Source organism: Homo sapiens, chromosome 7, assembly GCF_000001405.40.
Source record: "Homo sapiens chromosome 7, GRCh38.p14 Primary Assembly".
In the NCBI taxonomy this organism is placed as follows: domain Eukaryota; kingdom Metazoa; phylum Chordata; class Mammalia; order Primates; family Hominidae; genus Homo; species Homo sapiens.
The window spans coordinates 139,884,569-139,905,307 of NC_000007.14; the positions used below are offsets into that span (position 1 = coordinate 139,884,569).

Below are 20,739 nucleotides of genomic sequence, written 5' to 3' on the forward strand. Positions count from 1 at the left end.
CTGCTAAACTTCCTGCTGTGGGTGAAGGGCAGCGTTTAAAGAGTAAGATGGTGCTCCCCATTCCAGCAAACACTGGCCACAGTGGACAGTCCAGGAGAGAGCTGTGCACCAGGAAGGTGTCAGCTGGACAGTAGTCAGGCGTCCAGTAAAGCAGCGATGAGGAGGCTGTCAGTGGACACCAGGGCCCCACTAGTGGGTGGTTCAGGAACCTGAGAAGCCCCCGGCCCTGAGAAAGGAGTCTAGGTAGTACAGCAGGGTCTCAGCGGTGAGGGCTCTGAGGATGAACCAGGAATTGACATTCAGTTCTAAGATTCACAGCATCATGTGAGGCCCAGGACCAGAAGCCAGACCTAATCTCCGATATCAGTCAGGGTGGACAGGTCCATCATGGTTGGAACAGATCCATGCTGGAGAGGCACCGAGTCTCATGATGTGTGGCTGGAGGTTGTTCCTGCTTCTGGGGCCAGGGCTGGGCCTGCAGATGAGGGACAGAGCACCTGGCTAGAAAGGAGAGAGGACTGCAGCGGCTGGAGCGTCAGCCACAGATTTTTAATTTTGCTTTCCTTGATATTCACATCCAAAATCTACCATGGAGAACTGTATATCACGTTCAAGGTGGAAGGGAACTAACTCATTCCTCATTAGTAACTATCAAATATGGCATCAGTACCTTCTTTATCCTGTAAGTGACAGCTCTGCACAGATGTGTTCCCAATCGATAGAATGTCTCAATTAAAGTTGCATAAAAGCTCTATTTTGAGCTAATATCTTCAAATAATAAATTCCACATTTAATTGAAGCGTACCTGCAACAAATCCAAGTTGTTCAACCCAAAATGCATAATAGAGTATGTAAAACAGTCATGAATCACTGTGACATTTGTCAAGGCATTCTCCCATCTGGAAGCAGGTCCAGAAAGCACATGGCTGTATGCATATATCTTTTGTCAAGAACTTTGCACAGACAGTCTCAAAAAGTGCACACATTTACCCAATTCTTAGGGCTCTTCACTCTGATTGAGAATGCAAATAGCATTCCTATTCTATCTAAAAAGAAGAAAGACAAGCCATCTTTGATTTCAAAATTTAAAAGAAATTATTACTAAATTTGAAGAAGCAATGAGTTCCCAATTCACTTAGAGCTTAAAGTTCCTCTTTCATCACTATTTTGTGAGCAGAGGAACTTTTTCCAAACAAGTTCTTAGAAATCCTTGCTTGATTAAAAACCAGTTCTAAATCTTGTTACTCACATAGGGCAAAAGGTAAAGGAATCTAAATGTCTAAAACCAAATTAACTCCAGATACTAGTGTGAACTTTCAAGCAAAAAAAGTCACACACCACCGCATACACGTTTGAAATTCTACTAAATTTTGAATGTTTGACGTTAGCCTTTAAACTGGAACATATTCTTCTTTCTTCCTTAGGATCTTTAAATCTTTTAAAGTTTGGGTTGTTTACTATGCATTCTAATTACTCCTGATCACTCTTATGTGTAACATTTCTATAGCTATGCACACAAAGTAATTCCTTAGCAAGGCCCCACCAAGTTTTATGATGCCTGCTTGCCTAGGGCAGATAATATAAACTTAACTACGAAAATAAGTTCTTTGATTATTCTTCGTATCTCAAGACCGTGCTCCTAACAACCTCTCCTCCATCTCACCCTCAAGCTGCAAGAATTTTGCAACCCACTCTATGAAGTTTTTCCACCCTGAGTAAGGCTGTCAGTTTATTGGCCTATTTATAAAGGTCTGACTCTCTGACATGTTCTCCAGGCTCCCCACATTAACCACTAAGGAGGCACTCTTTGCAGATGAATTTTTTTTTTTTTTTTTTTTTTTTTGGCCTCGGCTTAAAGAGGAACCTATTAACCTTTGCCCGGAATCTATGGCTGGTGAATGGCTTGTCATAGCATGTTAGTTTGATGAGGCAATTGTGGTCTTTTTTGTTAAAACACCCCCCAGCACCTCTTGATACTACTTGGCCTACTGGAGATGTGGGCATCCAGGATTGAATCAAAACTACTGCACTTCACAACAGAGCTACTGCAGGAAGGAAATCCAGGTACTCCCTGGCTTGTGCCACCTCCATCTTTTCCGTGGCTAATGTAATGCCTAGTGCATATTCACCACAAAGAGGCAACTGTTGAATGGCTCTTCCATTTGCCTTTGAAGATTGCTTGTAACTCTTCAAGTTCACTTCTTCATCTCACTGCCAGACCACAGCTTGAGACTGATGATTGACATGGCCACTAGGTTCTTCCCAAAGACTCCAGCCTAAAGATTGTTAGCTGCTTCCCCCAAAGGCTTAGCCTTCTCTGCTAGAGTTTTGGTTCTTTGGAGCATCCCATGAGCAAGAAGCCTCAGCTCTTTGTCCTCCTCTGTGTAGGAGCCCACAAGGATGCTTTATCTCCAATCTGGAATGGACACTTAGCATCCTGAGTTCTGCCCTGCTCAAAATCCATACCTGTTCATGAGTACCAGGGCTTCAGGGCCCGAGAACCCACAGCTAACACCCATAGGAGAAAGGTTTCATATGAGTAGGTGGGATGGGTTTTCATGCCTCTACAACCTGGCCAGCAGGAGGAACACTGTGACCCATGGTTTCAGAATTGATGGTCTCCCACTTCTCGGTTAGATCTAGGTATTGAGAATAACCTGAAGGACATTTGGCTGGAGGACATTATTTTTATTGTGTTAAAATATGCATCACACAAAATGTACTCTCCTATTTTTCATTGTATAGATCAGTTGCATTAAGTACCTTCACATTGTCGTGCAGCTATCATCATCGTTCACATCCAGAATTTTTTTCATCTTGCAAAGCTGAAACTTTGTCCTCATTAAACATTAACTCTCCCTTCCCTCCTCCCCCAGGCCCTGACAACCACCATTTTACCTTCTGTCTCTACAAATTTGACTACTCTAAGTACCTCAATAAAGTGGAATCATATGGTATTTTTCCTTTTGTAACTGGTTTATTTCACTTAATATAATATCCTCAAGGTTAATCCATGTTGTAGCACATGGGAGAACTACTGCCTTTTTAAGGCTGAGTAATATTCCATTGTAAGCCTATTCTGCCTTTTGTTTATTCGTTTGTTTGTAGATGGCGGAGTGTGTTACTTCCAGCATTGAGCTAATGTGAATAATGTTACTTGAATATGGATGTGGAAATACCTCTTTGAGACCCTGCTTTTAGTTCTTTTGGGTATATATGCAGAGGTGGAATTGCCAGATCACAGAGTAAATCTATTTTTAGCTCTTTGAAGACCGTCATACTGTTTTCCATAGTGACCATACCATTTCACCTTTGGAGGACATCTTATAGCAATGCTTTGTTGTCCCCTTTTCACCACGATTATGTGGCCATTACTTCTTGTTTTCAAACCTTGAGAGTGAGCTCAGGTTAAATTTACACTTCCCTTTGTGCCCTGGATCCCAACTGGTCAAGGTGAACCACACATTTCTAATTGGAATGTATGACCCCAGTGACTTTGCCTGTAACTTCCTTTTGGCTAGGCCAGTAAGCGCATTTTTAACCAAACCGACCCCATTATCAACAAATGCTTGCACTGCACGATAAATTCAGTTTGCTTTAATAAATTCCCAGTAGTCCTCACCCAGAGCTCCTTCTCCTCTTATCTCACTCCTTGCTGCCAAACCCTTTACAATTTATGTGTCTGCCTTTCGGTTCTGCCTTCAGCCCCCTCCAAGTTTCCTCTTTCCCACCAGCTCACTGTGGCCTTTGTGTCTCACATAAATTTTGTCTTCTGTGTCTGAAACTCTTACTGACTTCTGCTTCCTTGTTCCCTGGGTCTACACTGTTCCTTCTCTTCCTGGAACTGACCCTTCGATCTCTGGGCTTCCTACCTTGAGTAATTTGTCAAAATCCTGTTCTTGCAATTGGTGGCTTCTCAATTTTTTTCCTCTGGGTTTTTTTCCCACAGTCTTTCCACTATATCACAGGGCATACACTCCTGCTTCATGACTGTTCATGACATATTGAATTCCCCTCTTGTACCCCACAGTCTCTGCACTGAGTGTGTGCTCATTGGGAAAGGTTAGCTCACATTATACCTATCCAAAAAAGGAGAGGTGGCAGGTGGCCTGTGGAGAAGAGTGTATCCAGGCACATATGCATGGGAGAAAGTTCAGAGGTTTTGGCTGAGATAGAAAGAAGAAGAGTAGAGGCCAAATGTGTGCTAGGAAAATGTGATGTTTGGGGCACAAGTAGAGAGGACAACCTTGGCAGTGGCAGATGAGAGAGAACCTCAGGACTGGTGCTAAGGAGGTGGGTTATTTAAAGAAAGTTGTGCAGGTATAGAGTGGAGAAGGGGTGCAGGGGGAGGATGGAATTGAGTTAAAAAAAAAAACTAGCAAAAAACATTCTGATAGCACAGGTGAGAGAGATAAGAGTGATTTAGATTATCAGAAATGGAAGGAAAAGAAGGAGAATTTTATAGAGAAAGTGTCCTGTAGTGGCCGGGTGTGGTGACTCGTGCCTGTAATTCTAGCACATTGGGAGGCCGAGGTGGGGAGATTGCTTGAGCCCAGGAGTTTGAGACAGCCTGGGCAATATAGTGAAACCACATCTCTACAAAAAATACCAAAATTAGCTGGGTGTGGTGGCATGTGCGCCTGTTGTCCCAAGTACTTTGGAGGCTGAGATAGGAGGATCGCTTGAGCCAGGAAGGCAGAGGCTGCAGTGAGCTGAGATCATGTCACTGTAATCCTGTCGAAAAAAAAGGAAAAAAAAAAAAGAAAAGAAAATGTCCTAAAAATGCAGCAAGTCATTGATTGTAACAAGTAAGAGATGAGTCAACATTAATCACTGAGGCTGACTTCAAATGCTGGAGACAACATGGTGATTCCACCATAATTAAGAGGTTGAACAGGGCAAAGACAAAATAGTTTTATCTTTTTCTTAATCCGTTGGAGCTTGTCCTCATCCTCATGTGTTCAAGCTGTTATAACAAAGTGCCATAGACTGGGTGGCTTATGAATAACAGAAATTTATTTCTCATAGTTGTGGGGACTGGGAAGTCCAAGATCAAGGAACCAACAGATTCATTGTCTGGTGAGGGCTCACTTTCTGGTTCATAGATGGTGCCTTCTCACTGCACCCTCCCGTGGTGGAAGAGGTGAAAGAGCTCCCTAGGGCCTCCTTTATAAGAGCACTAATCCTGTTCAAGAGGGCTCTGCCCTCATGACCCATTTGTCCCCCAAAGACCCCACCTTCTAATACTGTCATCTGGGGGTTTAAGATTTCAACATATGAATCTGTTGGGGGGATGGATACAAACATTCAGACCATGGCAGAGCTGCTAAGGAGACATTGGGTGCAAGGTGACTTAGGAATGAAGCACTCAGAGGATCAGGAAGCTGCATTAGGAAGGAGAGAGGAATGGGAGCTCCAGGGTAGGCCTGGAATCCGGAATCTCCACCTCCCACCCTCCAACAATCGAATGGGGTGTTTCCCGCAGTGTGTCCTTGAGACCATCGTTTCCACTGACAGTAATAATTGTTACATGGGGAATAGCAAAAGGAACACAGGTCTCTTCAGTGTAGAAAGACTCCGAACCTTTCATGCAGCAATGTCCTTCGACAATCTCCAAGTGAGAAATTTAGGATGCAGTCTTTTTTTTTTTTTTTTTTTTTTTTTTGAGACAGAGTCTCGTTTTGTCGCCCAGGCTGGAGTGCTGTGGCGCGATCTCCGCTCACTGCAAGCTCCGCCTTCCGGGTTCACACCATTCTCCTGCCTCAGCCTCCCGAGTAGCTGGGACTACAGGCGCCCGCCACTGCGCCCGGCTAATTTTTTGTATTTTTAGGAGAGACGGGGTTTCACCTTGTTAGCCAGGATGGTCTCGATCTCCTGACCTCGTGATCCACCCGCCTCGGCCTCCCAAAGTGCTGGGATTACAGGCGTGAGCCACCGCGCCCGGCCAGGATGCAGTCTTTATTTGACCACAGAACATTTTTCCCCCCAGAGTATTTCTTGGGACTAGGATATGGAGAACAGGCTTTGAGAGAAAACACTGATCTAATAAATACCAGCATTTTACTCCTAAAGAATTCCCCATAAAAGACAACCATTAATAGAAATAGTTTACTTCACCATTGTGAATTATCAACATTACAACCAGTAATTACTAATTACCTCCATTTTGAGTTGATGTTTTGGGGGATGTTTTTATCCTGCAGTGCTATGGAGAGGCTGGGAACGCACTGCTGCCTGTGTTGCTTGTTTATTTATTTCCTTTTATTCCCAGTGTTCTCTCATTCCCCTTCCCATCCCCAATAGTCAACCATTCCAATTGTGTTTAATGTGTTTTTTTTTCACATGTTCTTGCAAATTGTGCATTATCATTTCGTGGATATTATCCTTAGTTTATGCCAATAGTACTGCCGTAGATCTCATTCTATTCCTTAGTTTTTTCATTTAGCACTGTGCTTTCAAGGTCCAGCACAGAGTTCCCATTGAGTCTGCTGCTTCCCATGGCTGCCTGACATGCCACGGATGCCTGTACCTACTTCACCTGTCCACTGTCCCAGGAGGAGATACCCAGTGGCCCTCAGCAAGCAACCCTGCAGTGGGCATCCTTTTATGGGACCTCTACGGACCTGTGGGAGAACTCTATGGGCTATCCATCTTGCCCTATGATTATAATATATATATATTTATTTATTTATATATATATATTTGTTCCCTAAGGCCACTTACATATTAATTGCTAATAATCTGAAAGTGTTTTCCAGCACTCAGTGTGGATCATGTCCCTCCAATATAGTATCTCCCATGGCCATCCCAATAACATCCCTGAGAGTTTGGCCGGGCTAGTTGCATTATCCTCAATCATACAGAAACATGAGTGACTAGAATGAAAAGGGCGTGTGGCTAGTAAGAGGTGTGAGCAGAGTTGCACAGGTTCTTTTTATTAATCCAAAGCTCTTTCCATTCCACTGCCTCTTCTTGCTGTTTCTTCAACATTCCAAACAGTCCTGCCTTAGGACGTTTGCCATAACAATACGTAACATAATTATTTGTTGGTTGACCTGCTTTCCTGGTAGAATGCAAACTTCACGAGGGTAGGGACTTGCTCTCTTGTTTGTGCTGCTATTTCCAGTGCCTAGAATGGTGACTGACACATAATAGATGCTCAGTAAATATCTGTTGCGTGAACAGAAGAATCATCTCTAAGTACATGTCTTTCATGTCAGATTTGTCTCCAAGGAAACTTCAAACAGGAAGGTCTTGCTATTTGGCTAATTTGGGTAATGGTACTATTTTACTGGAGACAAATAAAAGGAATTAGGGGGAGAGTCTCATATTAAAATAGAGGGTTGGATAAGGGGAGTTTATACTCTTTCCCCATCAGTGGCTTTTATGCTCTATCAATTCAGTAGTTAGCCCATCAAAGTAAAAAATTGAATTACACTGTGTAAGGCCACCTTGGGATCCAAAAGATAAAAGAGAAGATAAGGGACATGTTCTCCTGATACACTAGCTGGGCTCCACTCACCCAAGTCATTAATTGGAGTCTTATTGGGCTACTGCCTCATATCCTACTCCCGAAGAGCTGATACCTCCCATAACCTCATTCTTAGGGTCAGCTGGCCGTACCAGAAAGAGCACTGGATTAGGAGCCAGATCTGGGTTCTGGTCTTAGCTCAGCTATCCCTACTGATGGGACTAGAATGAATGAGTCATTTATCATTTTCTTCCCTTTAAAAAATACTTGAGGCCAGGCTCAGTGGCTCACCGCTGTAATCCCAGCACTTTGGGAGGCCGAGGCGGGTGGATCATGAGGTCAGGAGTTCGAGACCAGCCTGACCAACATGGCGAAACCCCGTCTGTACTAAAAAAATACAAAAATTAGCCTAGTATGGTGCCGCGCACCTGTAATCCCAGCTACTCAGGAGGCTGAGGCAGGAGAATAGCTTGAACCTGGGAGGCGGAGGTTGCAGTGAGCTGAGATCATGCCACTGCACTCCAGCCTGGGCGACAGAGTGAGACTCTGTCTCAGAAACAAAACAAACAACAACAACAACAACAAAACAAAACAAACAAAAAAACTTGAGCACCTACCTATCTCACAGGTCTGACATGAGACTCAAAGGAGCTCTCAGAGCCCTCCCAGGGCAGACTGTCCAAGTATCAGGGATTCCAACTGGGATTCCACTGCTCCTTGGTGTTCTTGTAGCCAGCCTGCATCTTGGGGAGTCTGCCGAATTCAGAAGCCCCATACCTCACCAGCTCGGGGTGAGCTTCTTGAGTCCTGCACATGGGTCCTCTCACCCTCATGTCTCCAGGGACTCCTCCGCCTGGGTAAGGGGAGACAGCACACATCATCCAGTCCTCTCCCCTCTTTGGGCCTCATTTTCCTAGCTATGAAATGAGGGGGTTGGGCTAGAATGATCATCTTGAAGCTTCCCTCCATCTCTAAAGTATTATGATCAGTGCTTTATTATTTTTTCCCTGCCTCTGATTTCTCTCCCACTGTGTCTGAAATTCTTTTGCCATTAAATTTTCTCTTCTTTCAGAGTTGCATATCTGGGCTTTTTATACCTAGTCCTGGACAGCACATTCTTCCCATGGCACTGGGCTTCCTCCCCTGGCCTCACTGTCTTTTCAGGAGTGACATTAGCTTTTTCCCAGACCGTGTATTCCTGTTCTAAGCCCACACATCATTTGGGGAGAGATGATTTTGCCATGTACTCTCACAAATATATGTCCTGCACATATTCTATGGAATAGACACACACACACACACACACACACACACACACACACACACACAGCTCCCTTCAATACCCCCGAATATACATGCCTGGGCATAACGTGTGGGCAAAAATATTCAGGGACAGCCAAATGACTATTTTAATGTTCCTTTGTCCCTGCAGGGCCATCGAACTATTTATTTAGTAGCTTGATGCTGTTTGCATCAACAACTTTGCCTTATAGGCTGTTCTTCATGTTTATGATTCTTACTGTGAAAAAAATTGCTTGCCTAACATCTGTTCTGAATTTGTTTTTTCTTTATTTTTATTTATCTGTTCCCCATTGAATTACATTTGCACCAAGAACAGTAACTTGAATTGTAATCTTCAGTGTCCTTCAGGATTTCTGCACACTTCAATACATCTCTTAATTACTCTTTTTTTATTGTTATGAGATATACATATATACCCATGCTCACACTGGCAGATTGGTTTGTAGCTTACCTCTGCCTGTCCCCCTCTGGGGACTAAGTTTTATTAACTGAATAAATTAGATGGGTGGGTATATTCAATAGAGTAGGGAGGTTTATCATTACAGGTTTCTTTCAGATATTTTTCCCCCTTGCTGCCCAGTTCTCTCCTTTAGCCATAGCTCTGTTTTGGAGAAAGCTTTATTGTAGCTTGACAGAGTCATAACTCACCAGGATGAGAAGGACCACTTCATCTTATAGATGAAGAAGCTGAGGGCCAGGGGGGAGGCTATCTTCCTGCCTGCTTCCAGAAAGCGTGGAGAATAGCTGCCCCAGCGCCATTCTTGAGAGGTAGAGCACAGCTTGACCCTGCCTCTCCAGGCTGCCAAGCCTGGGGGCTTTCCTTAGCAGCAGGAGGCCTCCTGGGACTACCGTGCCACCACCCACGCACCACACCATTGCTGCAGACCCAGTCCTTTGCAGAGCAAGCATTTTGCATGTTTTCCATGGGTGTGGCTGGGTTGGGGTGGTTAGGAAAGTGTGCAGAAGATGGTGTGGGAGAAGGGCAGGGCATGGAGAATCACAGTGGGGTCTCTTCATGCTTGTGGACTCTCCTGGTGGAGCTGGTTCTCTGGCCTCCCTCAGGCTGGCTCGTGTGACTGGAGCCCTCATTAACCCCCTGCTCTCACCACTTAGAAACCAACCCAGGGACCAACCAAGCATATTCCCAGCAGTAGGCAAGAAGATCCCTAAAGAAGGGAAGTGAGACCTGCGTTTATTCCCCTGATACTTGGGAAATCTAGCAGATATAGAGACAGTGACCCAGGTATCCAAGGGATTGGTCCAAATTCACCATCCTGTAACTCGAAATGCAATGCTCTTTCTACCATCGGTTCTCCATTCTTTCTGGAAGGTGTGTCCCCCTTCTTCCTTTTGCCCTTTCCCACACTCTTTGGGGGTCTATGTCCATGTCTTCCAATGGCACAAAGTCAGAGGGGATGGTTTCCCCATGTCTTGAAGTGCTCACTGCTGGCCCTGCTCCAGATGTTGTCCACTCAACAGACATTTCAGTCTTTGCTACGTGTACAGCATGGAGCTCATGGCAGTGGGAGAGACTACCCATCCCCTCCAGAAAATGTATCATTCATGTCTCTTTTCCCAAAGAAAGCTGACATCTAATTTAGGAGAAAAACCCAGACATGGGCCAAGTTGCTCAAGAATGCCAGGTAGTATAGTGGCTGACTTCTACAAGAGAAGGACAGGACACCCAGAAAGAAACCCAGAAGAACAGGAAACCCAGAAAGAACAGGAAACAGGATTCTGGGTAGAATCATGGACCAGTGAAGGCAGAGAAGGCTTCTAGGAGGAAGTAGGTCTTGAAGAATGAATAAGGGGGAGGTGAGGGCAAAGAATGTTCCACTCAGTAAAAACAGCCAGAGAAAAGCCCTTGAGGTGGGAATGGTTGGGGGAATGGAAGTTGTGGCTGGAGAGAGGGACACAGATGGATTGGCCAGTCATCATCACACACTGGAAAGCCTTCGTTGCCAGGCGAAGACATGTTTGTTATCCTTTTGTTACCCTTGCTAATGGCCTGTAAGCTGCTTAAAGCCATGTCTTGCAGGTCAGTTTCTAGAGATGGGGTTTGAGGGGCAAGATGTTTACTAGGGATCAGTGAAGGGAAGGAGGAGAAAGCTGTCAGTCATCCCCCAGTAGGACAAAATGCCACCTCTCTGTGTTCCTACTCAGCCCGGCCACTGGATGTGGGCTTTACCAGGAAGGGGGTGACCCCAGTGACATGGATCTCAGCAGCTGAGGCTGGCCCTGAAGGAGCTAACAGCTGGAGGCTCCCTGCTGACCACAGTCTCGGCTGCTGGACAGCAAGTCCTTCCCAGAAGGGGGATCTGGACGACATGTCTTGATGTCATCACATCATGGGAACTCTAGTTCAAATGAAGTTTTTGGCAGAATCACCAGGTTGAAGTGGGAGGTGATCTGAGGGTTCTGTATGCTGAGCTTCCCCACAGAGGACTCTTTGCCCCGCTAGACCTGAGACTGGCTGGGGCCAGCCACAAAGGCAGGCCCATGGCTGATGGAGCCAACAGGGCACCTCTGCAGGGGGCACCTCTCCAGGGTGGTAGGAGTGAAATAGAGCAGGCCCCAAGTTTTAGAAAATGACCAGGGGCTGGGTGAATTTTGGAAGCAAGATAAATGTGGATAAAGAGAAAAAAGGATTCTGAGGTTTCAAGTCTGGCTTCAGAGTTGAAAGCTCCTTCTGCCAGGAGGAGTAATAGGGAAGCCAAGAGGATAAAATGATTTCCCAGTCCTGGAAAGGCAGCTTAAAACCATCCTTCCACTTGCTCTTAAGGGTGAGGCGCTCTGCTAGCTTCTCAGGGATGCACGGACAGATAAGATGGGCTTTGTCTTGAGAGAACTTGCAGAGCGATCAGGAGCTTATCAATAAACAGAGGGTGATGCAGGTCAGTAGAGGAAAGGACCAGGTGCCACAGAAACTACAAGGAGCGAAGGGTCCATGAAGCCTTCACAAAGAGGGGCAGGTGACCCGACTGTCTGAAGTTTTCCAAACTAACAAGAGGGCAGCCGGCACTTTAGAGGGTAAATACTTGCAAAGAGGCAGAGCAGGGGGAATACTGCACATCTGGGGAACCATAAATAACTTTTTCACAGCAAGAATGAAAGGCTGTGGTTCCCAAACTGTGTGCTGAGACACCCCAGGGTGCCACAGTGAACTCACAGGGGCTTCCTGGGCTATGGTATTTTACACATTCGTGACAAATACAGCAACATCTGTCAGGCACTGTAGGAACTGCTTTCAGTTTATGTGTATTATTTCTTCAAATGTCCACTAACTTGCTAGAACATGTATACTTATAAAGTTGTTTGAACTTATCTACTTAGAAATGAGACTGTGGGGTTCTTCTTTTGGCCTGGGGAGCGCTACGAAGACATTACTGAGTCACTAAGGGCACCGTGAACTGAGAACGTTTGGAAACACAGGTATAAGAGGAATGGGGTGAGGAGAGAAGTCAGGAGCTCCTGAAGGGCCCCTGCTTGGTTACAAGTGAAGAAGCTTAAACTTGCTTCAAATGATGGAGAACCACTAGAGATTTATAGGGAATAGAACGACACAGTCAGCTTCTGTTTTACAAAGGTGATTGGCCTTGGCGGGAGGGTTGGTTTGGAGACAGAGAGCTTCACTGGGAGCTCCTCAGTGGTCCAGGCGAGAGAGACAGGGCCTGAAGCCAGTTGGCATTAGACGTTGGAGCTGGAATACAGCACACTGCGTTGACATCATGGAATTCCCACTGCATGCTTAACACCATAATGAACACTAGACATCAAAGATAAGAAGACAAGATGTGTTTCCACCACTCACAAACGAGCAGAAAGACAGTCAGGAAAAAAATTACAATTACTAGAGAACCACTAGGAGTCAACCAGGCAAGAAAAGAGGAGCCGTTCCAGGCAAGGCAGGGGGAACAGCATGTGCAAAGGCATGGGAGTGAGAGATCATGGAGGGTTTCAGTCGGTATGATCAGGATTGGCTCTTGGCGGTGGGGTGGGGAGGGGGACCGGGGGCAGGCAGGCGGGGGGAATAAGGAGGCACAAGGCCAAAGAACAAGGCAGGGAGCAGGGTGTGAAGGACATCATGTGCCACATGCTAAAGACTTGGCAAACCATTGAAGGGTGTTCAGTAAAGAAGCAGCATACTCAGATTTGCACTTTACCAAGTCCTAGGTGGATAAGTGGAGTTGGGGCCCACATGTGGACAAGCAGCAGGTCAGAATGATGGAGACAGAAACCTCTGAGTGGGAGGTCCAAAGTCTGGCCAGGAAGAGGACCAGGGATTGTACCAGCCTGAAAAGGGCAAAAGAAAGTTGCTGAACAGGCTCTACAAACTCCTGAAAGGGGAGGGGCTGAGAAAGCGCTGGTTCGGTCCATTGATCTCTGCAGGGCTCTGTGAATTCAGGGTGGACCCCAGGCATGAGTACTCTGAGGGTAACATGGGCAGATGTTGCCTGACCCTGCTCAGAGTGACAGACAGGAGCCCTGGGAAAGCAACTCCAGACTCCATGGCCTATGACTGTGTCACTGGCTCCTCAAGAAAACTCTCCCTGGTAGCTGAGTCTGCTCTGTCATTCAGCTGACTCAAGCCTCTTGCTCTAATGACAGACGGGAGAGCTGACCCAAAAGGGAAAGACACTCCATGAGCCAAGCAGGGACAGAGCCCCAGGACTCTGGGGACCCTGCTTTCTCCATGGCACCCTGTGGACCATCCAGCCCCGGAGGAGCGCCTGTGAGTCAAATGCCCAGGTACTCCCAGCACTGGACTTCTCCTTAACTTTCTCTGAACTTTCTGGAAGTTGAGCATCTCAGACACTCACAACTGTGATCTGCAGTAGCGTCTACCCCTTTCCTCACTGAGCCTCCTGCCGCTTCCACATGGACATTCCATGGCAAAGGTCAGACTTGAGGGTAGGACAGCAGCTACCCTGTTAGCATCCTCAGCCTGCTGGGAAATAAAACTGTCACGGAGACAAGAAGTTCTCAGATGCTTGGCATTTAGCAGTTGTCAGAGGAGCTGAAAGCCCTCATCAGTTCTACCTGAAAATCAGAAGTTTCCCAACGTGCATGGCTTTTTTTTTTTTTTTTTTTTTTTTTTTTTTTTGAGACAGAGTCTTGCTCTTGTCACCCAGGCTGGAAAGCAATGGCGCAATTTTTGTACTTTTAGTAGAGACGGGGTTTCGCCATGTTGGCCAGGCTGGTCTCAAAATCCTGACCTCAGGTGATCCGCAAGTGCTGGGATTACAGGCGTGAGCCACTACGCCCGGCCTGTGCATGCCTTTCTGTTCCTTCTGCTGATGTGGGGGGTGTTGGGCTCCTGTCAGGGGCCTCCTGATGCCCCGTTGGGGCACTTCCTCGCTCAGCTTCCTCGTCCCTGACAAAGTGGCAGCAGCAGGGTGTGGCCCATGGAAGGTGACCATGACCAGCATTTTCATTAAACTTTACTGTTCGGACAAACTATTCTCATCTGACCTCATAACGGTCTCTTTAATCATAGGAACAGTTTCAAGAAGGTTGATTTGCTCAAGGTGATACAGCTGTTAAATTACAGGACAAAGCCTTGAGCCCAAGTTCCTAAGACTCTCTGACACCTGCAACTGTGGCACTGCCAGCCGCCACTCTGCCTCTGACAGTCTCGGGGGACCAATCCAGTGACAAATTCTCCCTCTCCTTTTTTTTTTTCATTGCAGAAGTCACATGCGCTCATTATAAAACACTGAACGTTCAAGGAATAGATAAGATGAAAAGGACAGTGCCCCATAATTTCCTGCTCCAGATCTATGCCCTGTAAGCCAGGGGTCTGACACAGAGTATGTGCTCAATAAATGCTTTCTGAAGGGACTAGTTAATAGAAAGACCGACTATAATTTATTAACAGAGCTCCCCATACTATTTTACAATGTGCTTTTCCATTTGGCTGGGTCATTTGGACATTTTTTCATGTCGGTGCCTGTAGGTGACCCCCTGCCCACCACCACCAGGAACAGTCTATAGCTCGGTCACCCCTAACAGGGGCAGGCCTTCTGGAACAAGGCCAGGCAGCCCCCAGGCTAATCCCAACAGTCTATTCTACTTAAGTTCCCAGAAGGCGGCTGTGAACTATTTTGGTTTAACTGACTGGTCAGTTTCAAAAAAGAGAGAAAACCACTAATTAAACAAGTCAAACAAGTGGTTATTTTTGTCTACACAATACTTCACTGATTTGCCTACATTTTCTCTTCAACCAGGTGCTTTGGAGTTGAATAAGTGAATTCTTAATTGCATAGCTAAATGTAGATGAATAACTGGTTAAGAATTTCTTGCCCGGAAAGGAGTCTATATGTAAGTTTGGATTAGAGTGAACCAAGGCCTTACCTCTTTAATTGGGCTGGGGGTTTTCTGGTCCATTAAGCAAGAATATGCTCTAAATCTCCACCTTTGAAAGCCACAGTCTGCACAGCTGGGAGCCTGCCTGCTTTCCCTTGCACACCTACCCAGCACTGGAGCGGGTTCAAAGACAGGCCACCCGAGCTAAGAGCAGTCACTGGAATAGATGACAGCATGCTCACCACCAAGGACCTGGGCTGGGGTCAAGTCCCTGTCTTGGGCAAGTGACTTTGCCTCTCTAAGTCTCAGTTTCTTATTCTGAAAAGTGGATAAAATAATGTCCTCATCCATTTTCTATGAGAATTACATGAGGAAATACAGGCAATGCACTTAGAATGAAGCCTGGTCAATAGTAAACCCTCAAAATAAATGCTAACGATTGTTGTTAATCTCAAAGGTTTGAGAAGAATCTACAACCTCTGCAAATATTTCACTAGTATGAGAAGTTTCTTTGCACCCTATAGGAAGTAGACCTAAAATTCAAACACCCCATACTTTAATTTCCTTTCAAATTTGTAGGAATTATAGGATTTACAGTTCCAGTAAACTACAGAGATAACTTAGTTTTCACTCCCATATTTCAGCCATGGCCCAGAGAGTTTCAGAAATTTGCGCCTGGAACGGATTTCTGTGTGAGTGGTATGGCTGGATGAACCCGGATCCCACCTGCTAAGCTGTTGCATATTAATCTCCAGGACCCATGCCACCTCAGGGAGCAGGAAGACACTGCCTCACATTCACACCTTTGTGCAATACCAAGATCAGGCCCTTCTAGGGAAGTAAGCTTTGAGAGGCAGAATGGCACTGGGAATTCACAAGGTTGAGAAGAAAAAGGGGCACCATACTAGTTAGGACTTCCTGATTTCAAATTATGGGAAACCCAACACAAACTAACTTTAGCACAAACTAACTAATGTAAGCTAGGAGGATGGAATGAAGAGCTGCAGGAGGAAAGTTTGGACTCTATATTGTGCTTTGTAGGCAGTCTGTCTATCTGAAATCTCTGCTGGTCTCTATTAGCTCCTTCTGCAGACCGGCTCTCTCCATGTGGTACAAAAATGGCTGCCATCAGCCCTAGATTAATATATTCTCAGTTTAGCAGCTCCAGGAGAAAGTCAGAGCTTTTCACCCCAGCATCCATGTAGAAATCCCAATGAAGGATCCATACCGGCCTGGAGTGGGTCATGTGTCCACCCCTTGGACCAGTCACTGTTGCCAAGGAGATGAGATACTAGGATTGGCCATGCCTGGGTGGTGAGCCCACCACCATGACCAGAGGGGCAGGGTTCTATCACTGAGAGCTCCTTCAGAACTGCATGGAATGCGAGGGTGGTTCCTCAAGATGTAGTGGGCAGACAAAAGCAGGTGAGCCATCCCAGACACCCAAAACGAAAGCTATGTGTGCCTAGGACACACTTCCCTTACATTTTTTCTCCATTCAAGGTCTTTTCAGGAGCTCCTCAAACTACAGATGAGAGTTTTTGTAAATATAAATTCACAAGATTACACAATTTACATGTAAAATGGGACCAGTTTTCTCACGAGATTCATAAACCAGCTCTGAAGCAATTCTAAAGGAATTGTTGCAAAATTGTTTTTAGCATTAGCAATATTACTACAAAAAAAAAAAAAAAGAAGCAGGAAGACTCCCAAGGTGACTACTTGGAAGGACAACTTTCATTTGAAAGTAGAAGTATTATTTTGTTCCTTTAAAAAAATCTAGATTATGCGTAAGATTATTATGATAACTAAATCAATACAAATATATTACCAAAAGTTGCGTGTGCCCTACAGTGTAATTGCTTTCCTTTTAGATCTAAGAATTTAGGGAAATGAGAATGGGTGTGAACTTTGGTTAAATATAGAGCAGGTTTTCACCCAATCAGATTGGGTCCACAATCTGTCAATCACATCAGGATCCCCTGGGAGCTTGTTAAAATAGGAGGTGCTTGGGTCCCACCCCAGAGACTCTGGTCTGGTAGGTCTGGGTAGGGCCAGGCATTATTATTTCTGAATGCTCCGCAGTTGGTTTTGACAAGCCCTCGAGGCTGGAAACCATGGCCCTAGGACAGCATTTCTCAGAGTATGGAAAGAGTCCTCTTGCATCAGAATCTGAGAGCTGGTTAAAATCAGATTCCTGGGCCCTACCCAGGCCTGCTAGATTAGTCTTGGTAGGGAGCTTGGCTGTGAATTTAGAGTTTATTAAGCTCCCCAGTGACTTTTTAAAAATTTTTAATTTTGAAATAATTATAGATGGACAGGAAGTTGAAAAAAATATGTATGGGGAAGTCCTATGTTCCCATTACCCAGCTTCCCCCAATGGTAACCTCTTGCGTGACTATAGTACGTTATCAAAACCAGGGAGAATGACCCTGGGTATGACCCACAGTGCTTATCATATTTTTTCCAGGTTTATATGCACTCGTGTGTGTGTGTGTGTGTGTAGTTCTATGCAGTTTTATCACCTTTGTAGATCTGTGTAACCCCCACCACAGCCAAGATAAAGACTATCCTATGACCATAAGCTCTCTAGAACTACCCCTGTATAGCCACATGCACCCATCACCACCCCCATCCCTAACCCCTGGCAACCACTAATGTGTTCTCCATCTCTATAATTTTATTTCAAGAATGTTATGTAAACAGAATCATACAGCATGTAATCTAATGATATTTGTTTTTTCAGTCACAAAATTCCCTTGAGATTCATCCAAATTTGTGCATGTAACAATAGCTTGTTCTTTTTTAAATTGCTGCATAGTATTCCGTTGTATAGATGTACTACAGTTTGTTTACCCATCTACCCAATGAAGAACATTTGAATTGTTTTCAGTTTTTGCCTATTACAAACAAAGCTGCTGTAAACATTCATGTACATGTGTTCTGTGAATGTAAGTTTTCACGTCTCTGGGACAGATGTTCAAGAGTGCAATTGCTGGGTCATAGCATAAGTATGTGGTTAGTTTTATAAGAAATCGCCAAAGCGGCTTTATGGTTTTACCTTCACATCAGCAACTTATAAATGATCCACTTTCTCCACATGTTTGCCAGCCTTTGATGTTATCACTATTCTTTTAAAATTTTAGCCTTTCTGATAGATGTGAAATGATATCTCATTGTGGTTTTAATTTGAACTTCACCAATGGCTAATAATGTTAAACATCTTTTCATGTGTTTACTTGGCATCTGTATATCCTCTGTAGTGAAATGTCTGTTCATGTCTTTTGCCCATTTTCTATTTTATTTTTCCATAAGTTATTGGGGGTACAGGTAGTATTTGGTTACATGAGTAAGTTCTTTAGTGGTGATTTCTGAGATTTTGGTGCACCCATCACCTGAGCAGTACACACTGCACCATATTTGTGTCTTTTATCCCTCACCCTCCTCCCACTCTCCCCAACCCCCAAGTCCCCAAAGTCCATTGTATCATTCGTATGCCTTTGTGTCCTCATAGCTTAGTTCCCACATATCAGTGAGAACATAGGATGTTTGGTTTCCCATTCCTGAGTTGCTTCACTCAGAATAATACTCTCCAGTCTCATCCAAGTCACTGCAAATGCTGTTATGTCATTCCTTTTAATGGCAGCATAGTATTCCACCATACATATATACCACAGTTTCTTTATCCACTCATTGACTGATGGACATTTGGGTTGGTTCCATGATTTTGCAATCGTGAGTTGTGCTGCTATGAACATGCCATGCAAGTATCTTTTTTGAATAATGACTTCTTTTCCTCTGGGTAGATACCCAGTAGTGGGATTGCTGGATCAAATGGTAGTTCTACTTTTAGTTCTTTAAGGAAACTCCACACTGTTTTCCATACTGGCTGTACTAGTTTACAGTCCCACCAGCAGGGTAGAAGTGCTCCCTGATCACTGCATCCACGCCAACATCTACTGTTTTTTTAATTATTATTTTTTGATTATAGCCATTTTTGCAGGAGTAAGGTTGTATCACATTGCAGTTTTGATCGGCATTTCCCTGATCATCAGTGATGCTGAGCATTTTTTCATTTGTTTATTGGCCATTTGTGTATCTTCTTTTGAGAATTGTCTATTCAGGTCCTTAGCCCACTTTTTGATGGGATTGTTTGTTTTTTTCTTACTGATTTTTTTGAGTTCATTGTAGATTCTGGATATTAGTCCTTTGTCAGATATATAGATTGTGAAGATTTTCTCCTACTCTGCGGGTTGTCTGTTGACTCTGTTGACTGTTCCTTTTACCGTACAAAAGCTCTTTACTTTAATTAGGTCCCAGCTATTTATCTTTGTTTTTGTTGCATTTGCTTTTGGGTTCTTGGTCACGAAATCCTTGTCTAAACCAATGTCTAGAAAGGTTTTTCTAATATTATCTTCTAGAATTTTTATAGTTTCAGGTCTTAGGTTTAAGTCTTTAATCCATCTTGAGTGAATTTTTGTATGAGAGATGAAGATCCAGTTTATTCTCCTACATGTGGCTAGCCAATTATCCCAGCATCGTTTATTGAAAGGGTGTCCTTTCCCTACTTCATGTTTTTGTTTGCTTTGTCGAAGATCAGTTGGTTGTAAGTATTTGAGTTTATTTCTGGGTTCTCTATTCTCTTCCATTGGTCTATATGCCTGTTTTTATACCAGTATCATGCTGTTTTGGTAGCTATGGCCTTATAGTATAGTTTGAAATCAGATAGTGAGATACCTCCAGATTTGTTCTTTTTGCTTAGTCTTGCTTTGGCTATGCAGGCTCTTTTTTGGTTCCATATGCATTTTAGAATTCTTTTTTCTAATTCTGTGAAGAATGATGGTGGCATTTTGATGGGGATTGCATTGAATTTGTAGATTGCTTTTGGCAGTATGATCATTTTCACAATATTGATTCGACCCATCCATGAGCATGGGATGTGTTTCCATTTGTTTGTTTCATCTATGATTTCTTTCAGCAGTGTTTTGTAGTTTTCCTTGTAGAGTTCTTTCCACTCCTTGGTTAGGTATATTCCTAAGTATTTTTATTTTTTTGCAGCTATTGTAAAAGGGGTTGAGTTCTTGATTTGATTCTCTGCTTGGTCATTGTTGGTGTATAGAAGAGCTACTGATTGGTGTACATTAATCTTGTATCTGGAAACTTTGCTGAATTTTTTTTATCAGTTCCAGGACCTTTCTGGAGGAGTCCTTAGGGTTTTCAAGGTAAACGATTGTATTGTCAGCAGTGACAGTTTGACTTCCTCTTTAGCGATACGGATGCTCTCCTTTCTTTCTTCCTTCCTTCCTTCATTCCCTCCCTCCCTACCTTTCTTTCTCTTTCTCTCTTTCTCTCTTTCTCTCTTTCTTTCTTTCTTTCTTTCTTTCTTTCTTTCTTTCTTTCTTTCTTTCTTTCTCTCTCTCTCTCTCTCTTTCTCTTTCTCCCTCTCTCTCTCTCTCTCTTTCTTTCTCTTGTCTGATTGTTCTGGCTAGGACTTCCAGTACTATGTTGAAGAGGAGTGGTGGGAGTGGGCATCCTTGTCTTGTTCCAGTTCCGAGAGGGAATGCTTTCAGCTTTTCCCCATTCAGTATTATGTTGGCTGTGTGTTTGTTATAGATGGCCTTTATTACATTAAGGTATGTCCCTTGTATGCCGATTTTGCT

General features: G+C 44.3%; 1 protein-coding gene across 9 annotated transcripts in view, besides 1 other annotated feature; it reads left to right on the forward strand.

The window, feature by feature from the left end:
* TBXAS1 (thromboxane A synthase 1) overlaps positions 1–20,739 on the forward strand; it is a 242,052-nt gene that overhangs the window by 106,327 nt on the left and 114,986 nt on the right. The gene's annotated exons all lie outside the window — the stretch shown is intronic.
* Positions 3,522–3,816: a silencer, noted in NCBI's record as "tiled region #12519; HepG2 Repressive non-DNase unmatched - State 24:Quies". NCBI's record gives its function as "represses a minimal TATA promoter and a strong SV40 promoter by Sharpr-MPRA in HepG2 cells {active_cell/tissue: HepG2}" and the evidence as "EXISTENCE:reporter gene assay evidence [ECO:0000049][PMID:27701403]".